Source organism: Homo sapiens, chromosome 21 (genome assembly GCF_000001405.40).
Source record: "Homo sapiens chromosome 21, GRCh38.p14 Primary Assembly".
Lineage (NCBI taxonomy): Eukaryota > Metazoa > Chordata > Mammalia > Primates > Hominidae > Homo > Homo sapiens.
In genome coordinates, this window is record NC_000021.9 from 45,669,294 (window position 1) to 45,683,456 (window position 14,163).

Below are 14,163 nucleotides of genomic sequence, written 5' to 3' on the forward strand. Positions count from 1 at the left end.
TCTGCTTTAAAACCCATTCATGACTTTATAACTTTTCAGTTTTAGATTAAAAAAAATTGAAACTGTTACTTTTTGTAGCTTCTAATTTATTGTTTCTGTTTTTAACTATAGCAACTATAGTTTTAAAATTTTAGTTAAACATATATAACATAAAATTTGCCATTTTAAAGAGTACATTTTATGTGTACAATTCTGTGACATTAAGTACATTCATGTTGTTGTGCAACCATCCATCTCCAATACTCTTTTCATCTTGCAAAACTGAAACTCTTTACACATTAAACAATAACTCCCTCTCCCAAACCCCTGGCAACTACCATTCTACTTTCTGTTTCTATGAATTTGACTACTATAGATACTTCATATAAGTGAAGTCATAAATATTTTTCCTTTTGTGACTGGCTTATTTAATGTAGCGTACTGTCTTCAGGGTTCATCCATGTTGTAGCATGTGTTGGAATTTCTTCCCTTTTTAAGACTGAATAATATTCCATTGTGTGTGTGTGTGTGTGTATATATATATATATATATATATATATATATATATATATATCACATTTTGTTTATTCATTCTTTGATGGACACTTGGGTTGCATCTACCTTTTGGCTATAGTGAATAATGCTGCCATGAACTTGGGTATACAAATATTTGAGTCCCTTGCTTTTACTTAATTTGTGCCTATACCTAGAAATGGAATTACTAGATCATATGCTAATACTTTTCTTAACTTTTTGAGGAATGACTGTATTGTTTTCATAGCAGCTCCGCATTTTACATTTCTACCAGCAATGCACAAGGGTTCCAGCTTCTCCACATCCTAACCAACACTTATTATTATTTTGATAATAGCTATTCTAATGGGTATGAGGTGACATCTCTTTGTAGTTTTGATTTGCTTTTCTCTAATGATTAGTAATGTTGACCATTTTTTCTTGTGCTTATTGCCCAGTAGTATGTGTTATTGAGAGAAATGTCTATTCAGGTCATTTGCCAGATTTTTAATTGGGTTGTTTGGGTTTTTGTTATTATACAAGTGTAGTTGTTAAAATAGACTATGTTGGGTAATTCCAACTTCTTGTCTTTGTAGATATGTTTTTGTTTTCTGTGATTTCTACTCTTTCTTCCTCAATGGGTCACTAATTTCTTTTAGGCTACTAGACATTTGTATTTGCAGAATATTTTGAGGAATAATTTGAAATAATTTGGGATGATTATTGTTTTTAGAGAGGTTTTCATCAGGTACTGCTAAGGTTCTTAAAGGAGCAAGCTTAATCCAGTGTAGTCTTAAGGACAACCGGATGAGTAGAACAAAGGCTCAGTGCTTGGGAGGGCTGACTTGCTTCTGAGGACTTATTCTTTACCTTGAGGGGTTAGCCCTTTGTGGTTCCAGTGCAAATTGAGGGGTGGTTTCTCAGTATCTGATTCATGCTTTTACTCTGTATCTCTTCCCCCCAATTTTTGGATATTTTGGTTAACTTTCAATCCCACAAATTTCAGGGCCTTACATGGTAAAATTTACTTCTTGCTCATGTAACAGTTCACTGTGGATGTACCTCATCAGTGATCAGGTTTCCTCTGTGTGGTGATTCGGCCCAGCTCCTCACAGTGGGTGGTCATGCCATCTGCTACGGAGGTGGCATCCTTATCCTCTAGGCCCAGCTTCCTGTCAGTCCAGCTGGCAGATGAGAGAGCACACATGGAGAAGGCACACATGCTTCTCAGCCATGTTGGCCCAAAAGTGACGAGGACCATGATCTGTATCTCTTCATACTTTCCACTGGCAAGATCCAGTGATGGGGTTCTATCTAGATGCAGGCATGAAATCTGCAGTGTGTTGTTTGTGGTTGACAGTTGCTTCCCAGTTTCAATGCTGTCCTGGGAAAGGGGAGCACAGTTCTTTATGAACAGTTAGTTATCTGCCTCAGTCCTTCGCCTTGGCACACCCTTCTTTCACGACTGTCATGCACTCATCTCTCCAGGGACACAATCCAGAGTTGCCCCAGTTACTGTGTCTTGCACAAAGGATGGATTTCTAGCATTGTGTGGTCTTTATCAAATCCAGTTGTCGCTCTTGTCGTTTGATGACTGAACTGACACACAGGTTGTCTGCTGTTCACACTGTACAATAGTGGAGCCAAACCAAGCCAATTGCAATTTTTAAAACTTCCATTTTGGAAGGGGAGAATGGAAGATAAACATCAGTTCTTGGTCCACAGTTAGAGCAACATCCCATGGGCAAGTATTATGAAGGCATCTATCAATGTTTTCTAAGCAAAGGCCACTAGACACTCACCTGGGAACCATGGGGTGTTGTGGTAAGAGGGCGTTAGAAAGAACCTGTTACAGGATTTGGGCTTTGGTTAGGTGATTTGGGGGAGGGTTCAAGAAAGTGGGATGGTATCAGTAAGTGGGGACAATTTTTTGATGAGTGTCTGTAAATCTTATCTACAAGGAGGTTAGACTGGAGTGAGGTTAAAGCTGTGATTGGTAAAGAAACAGTCATCACTTATGTCAGTGGGGAGAGGGATTTTGACACAATCTTGTTTTTGTCTTCATTCATCATGGTCAGTGTGGCGTGTCTGATTCTTTCACCTTCTATTCTGGGAGTGGGGGCAGGAGAAACTGGTCTGTTGTCCTCCAGGCCTCCTTTCTCTGTCCCTCCATCTGGCTAGGCCTTGGGAGTGCTATGGTTTGAATATTTGTCCCCTCCAAAACTCATGTTGAAGTTTAATCTTAAGATGTGATTGGATCTTGAGGGCTGTTCCCTTATGAGTGGATTAATCTATTCATGGGTTAATGGATTAATGGATTAATGTGTTATCAGGGGAGTGGAATTGGTGACTTTATAAAAAGAGGAAGAGAGACCTGAGCTAGCACACTCAGCCCCTTATTGTGTGATGCCCTGCACCACCTCAGGACTCTGCAGAGTCCCCACCAGCAAGAAGATCCTCACTAGATTCTCCTCCTTGACCTTAGACTTCTCAGCTTCTATAACTGTAAGAAGTAAATTCCTTTTCCTTATAAATTACTGAGTTTTTGGTATTCTGTTATAAGCAACAGAAAATGGACTAAAATAGGGAGTACATCTTTCTTAGGGGTTAGGGGCTGCAAGATCCCACAGCCTGCTTTCTGCTTGTGGAAGTTTGGAGGCCTGGGGTTGTTTTGACAGTCACTGACTGTTTTAGGCTCATGTTTCTTTGGCAATGCAGTTTCTCCCCAATTCTAGTAGCTTCTGATCTATTTGCGTCTGGTAGTTTCATATGCCAGTAACTATAGCCAAAGTTCTTTTCTAGTCTTCCAGCTACTTCATATTTTTGCTTTCTTATGCATGTGTCTCTCCCTACCCAGGGTATCTTGAGGCTTAACATAATACAATAGTCATGGGTGTGGGTGGAGACACACCTGTAATCTCACCTGTGTGTACAGTTTAGCCCTCTCTTCATTGTGGAGTCTTAATGGGTCTTTGCTGCTCAGAACATGTTCAGTCGCATATCTTACTCTTGGGGAGCAGAGGGATAGCTTTTCCCGGATTGTGAGGCCCATATTTCTGGACTGTCTCTAGACGCTTTCCTGTCTCTCTGAAGCCAGCTAGTTTTTGCCTAAGCCCGTGTCTTTCTGTGATGCTCAACTGAGCAAAATGGGTAACAGTGACCTAGACAGTTGGCATTCCTTTTTCTCTTCCCCCTGAGCTGGAGGCTGGGTGTGTGCATTATCTGCCTTCAGGTGATCAAGGGTAAACGGTTTCACCAAATGACATGCACTGTATAAAATAGGTCTTCTCATTACCAGCTGTCTGACAGCAGTTTTTATTATGGTGTCACCCTCTTCAAGGAGCCCAATTCTGTGTTAATTTATTTCTGTTGAAATATGTATTTAATAATAGATAATTTGAAAGAAGAAAATTTCTGATTAGACTCTTTCTTTGGGAATTAATTATTTGACCCATTTTCTACTTCCCTCCGCCTCTCCACTGTTTGGAAATGAAGCTGTACATTTGTGGCAGTTTTCTAAGCAGACGTCACAAAGGTGTGGTATGGCAGTTCATCTTTTTTGTTTTTAACTGTATTAACACTGGAAAATCAAACCTTTTCTGATTTCTTACAAGAAGAAAAAATAAGACACTTCAGTTTTTTTTAAATAAAATGAGATATAAAGATAAACATTTTTGATGAAGAGAAGAGTTTTGTATTTAAGTTGCAGTGATGTGGATAACTCCCAGACTCATCCCTCTCTCTCTGTAGTATCCTACAAGAAGTGCCTGGGCCTTCTTGCTTTGAATCTTTTTCTGCTTTGAAGACAGGCAGAAGTGAATACCTGGCCTGAGCTTCTCCTGGGGCCCTTGTGGAAGCAACATGAGATGACTGATGTGCAAACACATTCAAGAGTGAAGCTCTCTGGGTAGAGAAGACATTATTATTTCATCCTGAAGTACTTTCGGAAGGTAAATGATTTATTTAGCACACTAAGTTCATCCTCCGAGGCCATGTGTTTCTACTATAAGGTACCCAAACCAGCCTTGGAAACTTACAGCATTGAGAGAGGAGAGGTCCAGTGAGCATGTCTCTCTATGAGTTTTACTTAGTTGGGTGCTCTTCTATAGAGTTCTGAGCTCTATTTATAATTATCCTTAAGCAAAAAAGAAACAATCCAAAATGGTGACACAGAGAGTCCAATTTACAGTTATCTGTGGTATAACCCAGTTAATAATCACCATAATACTTAGGGTGCTAGACTGCTGGTTTGAGTTTTTATGGAATTTTGAAGATAATGAGATTTTGTAATGGAACCATGTTTCTCAGTAATGTCTTTCACTGAATTATCTTGACTTGAGTCAAGACAAGACTCAAGAGTGACTTTATTTTAAATGTAAATCCACCATGTAACTTCTGACTAACCCTGAGCCGATAATACCTCCACAATGTTTAGTTGATGTTGTTATTCTTTATGTAGGAAGACCAATTCATTGTAAGTTTTCTTCAAAACAACCCTTGTTGTTGCAGAGATCATAGGCTGTGATGACTGTAGCATCCTACACATATCTTCCAGAGCACTATACTTTCGTTCCGAGATATAAACTCTATGTCTGGGGGTTTGTGCAGAGATCTACCTGTTTGCACCTGCCCAAGACCATGATTCTGTCTGTACATTCTCCAGTAAATCACCCAATACCAACAAACTGGATTTCTCTGTCTCCTTCTTTGGTTTCTTGGCTCCTTTGGTATTTGAGGATTGCTTTGCATATATGGCCCTTTCACAGGATACTTCATTAATTATCTAATTAATTAAACAAATAATAATGAAGTAGGTTATGTTGCTTACTAAAAAATTGATAAACTTGAGGTAGCCATACTTCTCTAGGTCCACTTAGGAAACTGAAAGTTTTGGTTTAATAGTCTTTTTCAAAGATAAGCCATGTATTATTCATATGATTAGTGTGGAGGCTGATATTGAGAGAAGGTGTAGTAGCTTGCTTTTATATGAGGGCACTGGAATGAGATGTGATCCGTAGATTCCCATAGTGGTCTGTGACCCATGCTGGGACTGGCTCTTCTCCTCGGCTCCTGGAACAGGGATCCAGCCCCACATGACTTCCCCCTTCCCTGGCTCAGTTGGATATCCACAGGGGCCTCTTTCTCTTGGACATGCCCCCACCTAGCACCCACCATTTCTATTTCTCTTGCTCTGGATGCCACCGCATCTTCAGGACACAGCTTCTCCTGAGCTGATAGGGATGCCCTGGAGCCTGTGGAGTGCCTCTGTTGTCCAGAGTTCTGTGGTAAGATCCCAAGAAACTTTCCCACCTGAAGAACAGAGCATAGTTGAGGCGAGGTCCTGTGCTTTGCAGGACTTACTGAGGAGACTTTGACCCTGGTCTTCCTTCTGTCATTTCCAAAAGTGAGTATGTGGGGGCAGTGGGGTGGAGGTCAGTTCAGTGAGCACACATGATGGGGAGGCAGAGCCCTCTACCTCTTGGGCAGCTGAGGCTGAGGTCCTGGGCTGGGCCTGTCTGCTTAGTGTCCTTGATGCAGGGATAGATCTTATTTAAGTGAACATGTCCCTACAGACAGGCAGGTACCACCTAGGGAACCCACAGGCAAGGCCCAAATGCTCTTATTTGTGGTCTACATTAGGCAAAGAACCAGATTGGACTATGAAGCCGGAAGGGAGCTTATAACTTCCTGCTGAACAGAGGATAAAAATGTGACCCACTGAGGGCAGTAATAGCTGATGAGCAATCATGGTGGTTCTTACTCCTGGTTGGCTCAGGGCTGGGAGCACTAGGCGTATTGCAGTGCCAGTGAAAGCAGAGCGGGGCCTCAAACCCTCTTTTTTCACCTCTTTTTTTATGCCATAGCAACCACAGTAAGCCTGTAAAATCTCCTGTGATTTGTGGAGTCTCGGGCTCCCTGGAAACCTTTCAGGGGGCTCATAAGGTCAAAACTGTTTTCATAATGATATGGAGCCATTCTTTCCTTTTTCACTGTGTGGACATTTGCACTGATGGTGTAAAAGCAATGGCAGGTGCTTTGACACAAATCAAGACCATGGCACCAAACTCTACTGACAGTCATCATACTCTTCACTGTCACCCACTCGCATACAAAAAGCCAACAACATTTAAGAATGTTCTTGATGAAGTCGTAGGAATGATTAATTTTATTAAATTTTGACCTGTGAGTACATGTGTTTTTAATATTCTGTGAGATGGAATTGAAAGTTTGCATAATGTACTTTGGCAGATGGAACTACAATGATTGTTTGAGGAAAAGCACTTGTGCTTTTTTTGGGTTAGGAGTTAAACTAGCTCCTCTTTTAATGGAACACTGTTTTTACTTTAAAGAACAACTGACAGACAAACCATGGTTATTCAGACTTGTATTTTTGGCATAAAATGTCTGAAAATTGAACTAACTGAGCCTGTTACTTCAAAGGAATTAACTGCCTGTGTTTGTTGCAAATGATAAAATTGAATTTTCAGGCAAAAGTTAGAATTGTGGAAAACTTGTATCTGTCATGGTGAGCTTGACAGCCTTCCAATATAGGCATCACTCATTTTATTGCACTTTACAGAATTTTTTTTTTTAAACAAATTTAAGGTTTGTGGCAACCCTGCATCAAGAAAGTCTTTCAGTGCCATTTTTCCAATAGCATTGCTTACTTCATGTCTCTGTGTCACATTTTAGTACTTCTCATGATATTTCAAACATTTTCATTATTATTATATCTGTTATGGTTATCTGTGGTCAGCGATCTTTGTTACTATTGTAATTATTTTGTGGTGCCATGAACTTTGCCCATATAAGATGTTCTATGTGTTCTGACTGCTCCACAGCCGACCATTCCATCTGTCTGCTTCTCTTGGGGCCTCCGTATGCCCTGAGACACAACAATATTGAAATTGGGCCAATTAATAACCCTTCAGTGGCCTCTACATGTTCAGGTGAAAGGAAGGGTTGCACATCTCTCATTTTATTTATTTTTTATTTTTATTTTTGAGACAGAGTCTCACTCTGTTCCCCAGGCTGGAGTGCAGTGGTGTGATCTCAGTTCACTGCAACATCTGCCTCCTGGGTTCAAGCTATTCTTGTGCCTCAGCCTCCCGAGTAGCTGGGATTACAGATGCATGCCACCATGCCTAGCTAATTTTTTGTATTTTTAGTAGAGGCGGGGTTTCGCTATGTTGGCCAAGCTGGTCTCCAACTCTTGGCTTCAAGTGATCCACCTGCCTCAGCCTCCCAAAGTGCTGCGTTAGCCACTGCGCCTGGCCACGTCTCCCACTTTAAATGAAAAACTAGAAATGATTAAGCTTAGTGAGGAAGGCATGTTGAAATCCCAGACAGGCCGAAAGCTGGGCCTCTTATGCCAAACAACCAGGTTATGAATGGAAAGGAAGTTCTTGAAGTAAATGAAAAATGTTACTCCAGTGAACACACAAAGGATAAGAAAGCGAAACAGCCTTGTTGCTGATATGGAGAAAGTTTGAGTGGTCTGGATAGAAGGTGCAACTAACCACAACATTGCTTTAAGCCAAAGTCCACTCCAGAGTAAGGCCCTAATGTGCTTCACTTCTATGAGGCTGAAATAGATGAGGAAGATATAGGAGAATTTGAAGCTAGTAGAGGTTGGTTCATGGGATTTAAGTAAAGAAGTCTCCGTAACATAAAAGTGCAAGGTAAAACAGCAAGTGCTGATGTAGATGCTGTACCTTGTTCTCCAGAATATGTAAGAGAATAGATGAAGGTAGCTACACTAAGGAACAGATTTTCAATGTAGACAAAATAGCCTTCTATTGAAAGACCATGCCATCTAGGACACCCATAGCTAGAGAAAAGAAGTCAATGCCTGGCTTCAAAGCTTTAAAGGACAGGCCGACTCTTTTGTTAGGGCCTAATGCAGCTGATGACTGTAAGTTGAAGCCAGTGCTCATTTACCATTCCAAAACTCTAGGATCCTTAAGAATGATGCTAAATCTACTCGGCCTGTGCTCTATACGGGAACAACAAAGCCTAGATAACAGCACATCTTTATAGCATGGTTTACTGAATCTTTTAAGCCTTCTCTTGAGACCTGCTGCCCAGAAAAAGGTTCCTCTCAAAATATTACTGCTTATGAACAATGCACCCGGTCACCCAAGAGCTCTGATAGAGATGTGCAAGGAGATGAATGCTGTTTTCATGCCCATTAACACCGCATCCATTCTGCAAGCCATGGGTCAAGGAGTAATTTTGACTTTCAAGTGTTACTACTTAAGAAACACATTTTGTGGCTGAGCATGGTGGCTCACGCCTGTAATCCCAGCACTTTGGGAGGCAGAGGTGGGAGGATCACAAGGTCAGGAGATCGAGACCAGCCTGGCTAACACGGTGAAACCCCGTCTCTACTAAAAATACAAAAAAATTACTCGGGAGGCTGAGGCAGGAGAATGGCATGAACCTGGGAGGCGGAGCTTGCAGTGAGCCGAGATAGTGCCACTGCACTCTAGCCTGGGCGACAGAGCGAGACTCCATCTCAAAAAAAAAAAAAAATAATAATAATAAAATAAATAAATACATTTTGTAAGGCTATAGCTGCCACAGATGGTGATTCCTCTGATGGATCTGGGCAAAGTAAATTGAAAACCTTCTGAGAGGCATTCACCGTTCTCGATGTCATTAAGAACATTTGTGACTCATGGGAGGAGGTCACAACATCAACAAAGTTTGGAAGAAGTTGATTCCAACCCTCATGGATGCCTTTAAGGGGTTCCATCCTTTATTGAAGGAAGTCACTGCAGATGTGGTGAAAACAGCAAGAGAACTAGAATTAGAAGTGGAGCCTGAAGATGTGACTGAATTGCTGCAATCTCATGATCAAACTTGAATGGATAAGGAGTTGCTTCTTATGGATGAGAAGCAGAAAAGTGGTTACTTGAGATGCAGTCTACTAGTAGTGAAGATGCTGTGAACATTGTTGAGATGACAACAAAGGGTTTAGAATATTAATATTACATAAGCTTAGTTGCTAAAGCAGCAGCAGGGTTTGAGAGGACTGACTCCAATTTTGAAAGAAGTTATACCATGGTGAAAGGCTATCAAACAGCATCACATGCTACAGAGAAAACTTTCGTGAAAGGAAGAGTCCATTGATGTGGCAAACTTTAGTGTTGTCTTATTTTCAGAAATTGCCACAGCCACCCCAGCCTTTAGCAACTATCAGCCTGATTGATCAGCAGCCACCAACATCCAGGCAAGACCCCACCACTAAAAAGATGATGACTCACTGAAGGCTCAGATGATTGTTAGCATTTTTTTTTTTTTTTTTTTTTTAGCAATAAACTATTTTTACTTTTTTCTTTGTTGTTTTTTTGAGATGGAGTCTCTGTTGCCCAGGCTGGAGTGTGCAGTGGTGCAATCTCGGCTCACTGCAACCTCTGCCTCCTGGGTTCAAGCGATTGTCCTGCCTCAGCCTCCTGAGTAGCTGGGATTATAGGTGTGCACCACCACGCCCAGCTAATTTTTATATTTTTAGTAGAGACGAGGTTTCGCCATGTTGGCCAGGCTGGTCTCGAACTTCTGACCTCAAGTGGTCCACTCACCTCAGCTTCCCAAAGTGCTGGGATTACAGGTGTGAGCCACCACGCCTGGCCGCAATAAAGTATTTTTAAAATTAAGGTATGTACATTGTTTTTAGACATAATGCTATTGCACACAATAGACTACAGTAGGGTGTAAACATAAATTTTATATGCCTTGGGAAATGAAAAAATTCATGTGACTTGCTTTAATTTAATATTTGCTTTATTATGGTACCTGAAAAATGAACCCACAGTATTTCTGAGATATACCTATATTCTAATATGTGTCTTTTATCACATTTGCAAATATGTCTCCCATCCTGTATCTGCTCTTAATCCTCTTAATCAGGGCTTTTGCAGATAAAATATTTTTAATTTTGATGAAGTGCATATTATCAGTTCTTACGAATCATGTTTGGTGTTAAGTTTAGCCGTAGATCACAAAGATTCCTTCTATTCTGTCTAAGTTTTATAGTTTTACATTTTATATTTGAGTGTGCAATTTATTTTCAGTTAATTTTTCTGTAAGGTGTGAGACTTAGATTGAAGTTCATGCTTTTGCCTATGGATATTTGATTGCTCTTACATCATTTTTTGGAAAGTCTATCCTCTCACCAGTTGCCTTTGCAATTCTCCAAATCATTTGAGAAACTCATTTCTCCAAAATCATTTGGGCACCTTTCTGTGGTTCTCTATAGTATTTTCCATACTGGATTTCTTATATCGTTCCATTGATTGCCATGTCCATCCTTCTGACAATGTCACATAATCTTGGCTACTGTGGCTGTAAGTCTTGAAATTGGGTAGAGATTTCTCTCATTTGCTCTTGTAAAAAATGTTTCAGTTATTCTAGTTTCTTTGCTTTTCCATATTTATTTTAGAACCAACTTCTCTATATATACACACATTTTTGATGAAATTTTAATGAAAGTTGCATTAAATTTGTATAATAATTTAGGGAAAATTGATATCTCTACTATGCTGAATGTTCTTATCCATGAACTTAGTATGTCTCCATTTATTTAGATATATTTGTTTTAATTCTTCAGTGTTTTGTAGTTGTCAGCATAAAATTTCTACACGTTTTGGTGGATTTACACCTAAGTGTGTGTTTATTTTCAGGGATTTTATTATATTTTTAATTTGAGTATCCATGTGTTCATTGATAATATACAAAAATAAAATGAATTTTTGTGTGTTTATCTTTAGTTTTATGACATTGCTGAACTCATTGATTCTAGAAGCTTTTGGTAGGTTCCTTGGGATTTTTTTAGATAATCAAGTCACCTGCAGATTTGGACAATTTAGTTTATCTTTTCTGATCTCTAGGTCTTTTATTTATTTCCTTATTACACAGGTTAGAATTTCCAGCACTACGTGGAATATAAGTGAGCAACCTTGTCCTGTTCCCGATGTTAGGGGAAAATCATTCACTATTTTGCTGTGAAGTATGATGCTAGCTGTAGATTTGTGTAGATGATATTTATCAAGTTAAATACCTTTTTCTCTGTCCTAGTCTATTTGTACTGCTATAACAAAATACCTGGACTTAGTAATTTATAAACAATAGACATTTACTTCCCATGGTTTGGGAATCTGGGAAGCTCAAGATCAAGGTCCCAGCATTTGGTATTTGGTGAGAGCCTTCTTGCTGCATTCTCACATGGCAGAAGGGGCAAATGCTGCGTCCTTACATGGCGGAAGGCAGAGGGCAAAAAAGGGCCTAAGCTAGTCCCCGCCACCCCTTTTATAAGACGTTATTTATTAGGGCAGAGCCCTGATGAGTTAATCACTTCCCAGAAGGTGCCACTCTTAACACCACTACAATGGGGATTTAGTTTCAGCACATTAATTTTAGGGGACATTCAGACCATAGCAGCCTCTATTTCTAGTTTTCTGAGAGGTTTTATCACAAATAGATGTTGGATTTTGTCAAATGCTTCACTACATTGAGCAATAGGATTACTTGATTTTTCTTCTTTAGCCTGTAAATATGAAGTACTACATTAATTGATTTTCAAATACTGGAGCAGTTTTCCATTCCTGGAGTAAACCCCATTTGGTCATGCTGCACAATTCTTTGTACAGAGGCTCCCTGACTTAGGATGGGGTTACATCCTGATAAACCCATTGTATATTGAAAGTGTCGTAAGTGAAAAATGCAACCTGGTCTTTGGTCAAGGAATCACTCTTGCTAAAAGTCTGAAACCTCATGGTTTCATATGACTTTTTCACCATCATAAAATAAAAAAGTCATAAGCTGAACCATTGTAAGTCAGGGAATTGCTGAATTCCATTTTTTAATACTTTGCTAAGGATATTTTGCATCTATATTCATGAGGGATGTAGGTCTGTATTTTTATTTCTTTTGGTAATGTCTTTTTTGGTTTTGGTGTCAGGGTAATACTAACTTTGTAAGATGAATTCAGAAATTTTTCCTCTTCTTTTGTCTTCTGGAAAATATGATAACCAAAATAAAAAACTCAATGGATGGATGGAGAGATCAGAGGAAGGAATCAGTGAAATGAAAGATAGAACATTAGAAATTATCCAATTTTTATATCCAATTATTATATCTATAATAACAGATATAATATAGACCAAAAAAGAACAAAGGCTCAGAAATCTGGGGGGCTATGAAAAAAATTGCTAAGAATCATGTCATCACATTTCAAGAAGAAGAGGAGAAGAAGAGCAAAGCTGAAAAAAGTACTTGAAGAAACAATAGCTAAAAATTTCTGTGGGTTTGTCTGGAGTGAGCAGTTATTTTGTTAAAGTTTTCTGTCTTGCTAGGCTGTCCCTTTTCTGGTCAAAACTAGGTAAAACATGCTTTTGTTGGGGCTTCTTCCCCCTCCCACCCAACATCCATTCATATTTATGGTACTATGAACACCCAGGGAATTCACTATCATGTCATTCCTTGGGTCGCACGGTCTCTAGCTGGTCTGCCTTCCTCTAGTCATCTTTCAGAGTCTATGATTGTTTTATATATAATGTCCAGTGTTTTCAATTATGCTTAGTGGGAGGAATACAGAAAGCACATCTACTCCATCTTCCCAGAAGTGGAAGTTAACCTACAGAAAGATCATTCTGACTAGTATGGGACTGACTGCCTGTAACCAGGCAAAAACTGAAGCAAGAAGACCTATTAAAAACTGAGTGCACTTATCCACGTGAAGAATAATGGTGGCATATGGCCATAGAGTGATAGCAGTGGAGGTGGTAAGAAGTAGCTGGACCCTGAACATAATGTGAAGAAAGTACAGGTAGAATTTGCTGATATATGAGGTATGTAGTATGAGAGGAAGAAAAGAGTCCCAGGGTTTTAGACTGACAAGCAGGAGAATGGCGTGCCATCAGTTGATATAGAGAAAGATGAGGAGGAGCAGGCTAGGGGGAACAGAAGGATGATTGTATTATGTTTTTCAAATGGGAAGTGAAACATGCCAATTATACAGCCAAATCAAGGTGTTAGGTAGGCATATGGATAGCAGCCTGAAGTTTAGAGGATGGAGTCCAGGCTGAAAAGATAAACTGGAGATTCATCAGCCCATAGGAGCTATTTAGAGTCATGAAACCAGGTGAAATCACTAAGGAAGTAAGCTAGAGAAGAGTACCAAGAACCTAACCCTGGGTTTTCCAGTGAGGCCTGGGATAGGGGAAGGAATCCGAAACAAAACAAAACAAAACAAAAATACTGCGTGTCATCAATCAGAGAGCTAGGAGAAAAGAGGATAGAGGTATATCCTAGAAGCCAAGTAAAAAAAGTATTTCAAGAAGGAGGGAACAATGACCTGGATTCAGATCCTGCTGATAGGTCAAATAAGATAGGATTGAGACTTGATCACTGGATTTAGCAAAGTCAAAGAGGCCTTTGGTGATCCCCACAAAGCTGTTTTTGGTGGAGTAATAGGGCAAAATCCACATTGCAGTAGGTTAAAGAAAGAATAGGAAGGAATTGCAGATAATAAATGTAGATTTAGGTGAGTCACTAAGTTCACCTATAATTGAGGATAATGGTGATGCCTTTCCTTCCTTAAATTAATCTTTACGGAGGACTTACTTTGGGTTAGACACAGCAAAGTAAGGAGATCTAAGGTGAAAGAGA

General features: G+C 39.7%; 1 protein-coding gene across 17 annotated transcripts in view; it reads left to right on the forward strand.

The window, feature by feature from the left end:
- Positions 1 to 14,163, forward strand: part of PCBP3 (poly(rC) binding protein 3) — a 298,726-nt gene that overhangs the window by 25,569 nt on the left and 258,994 nt on the right.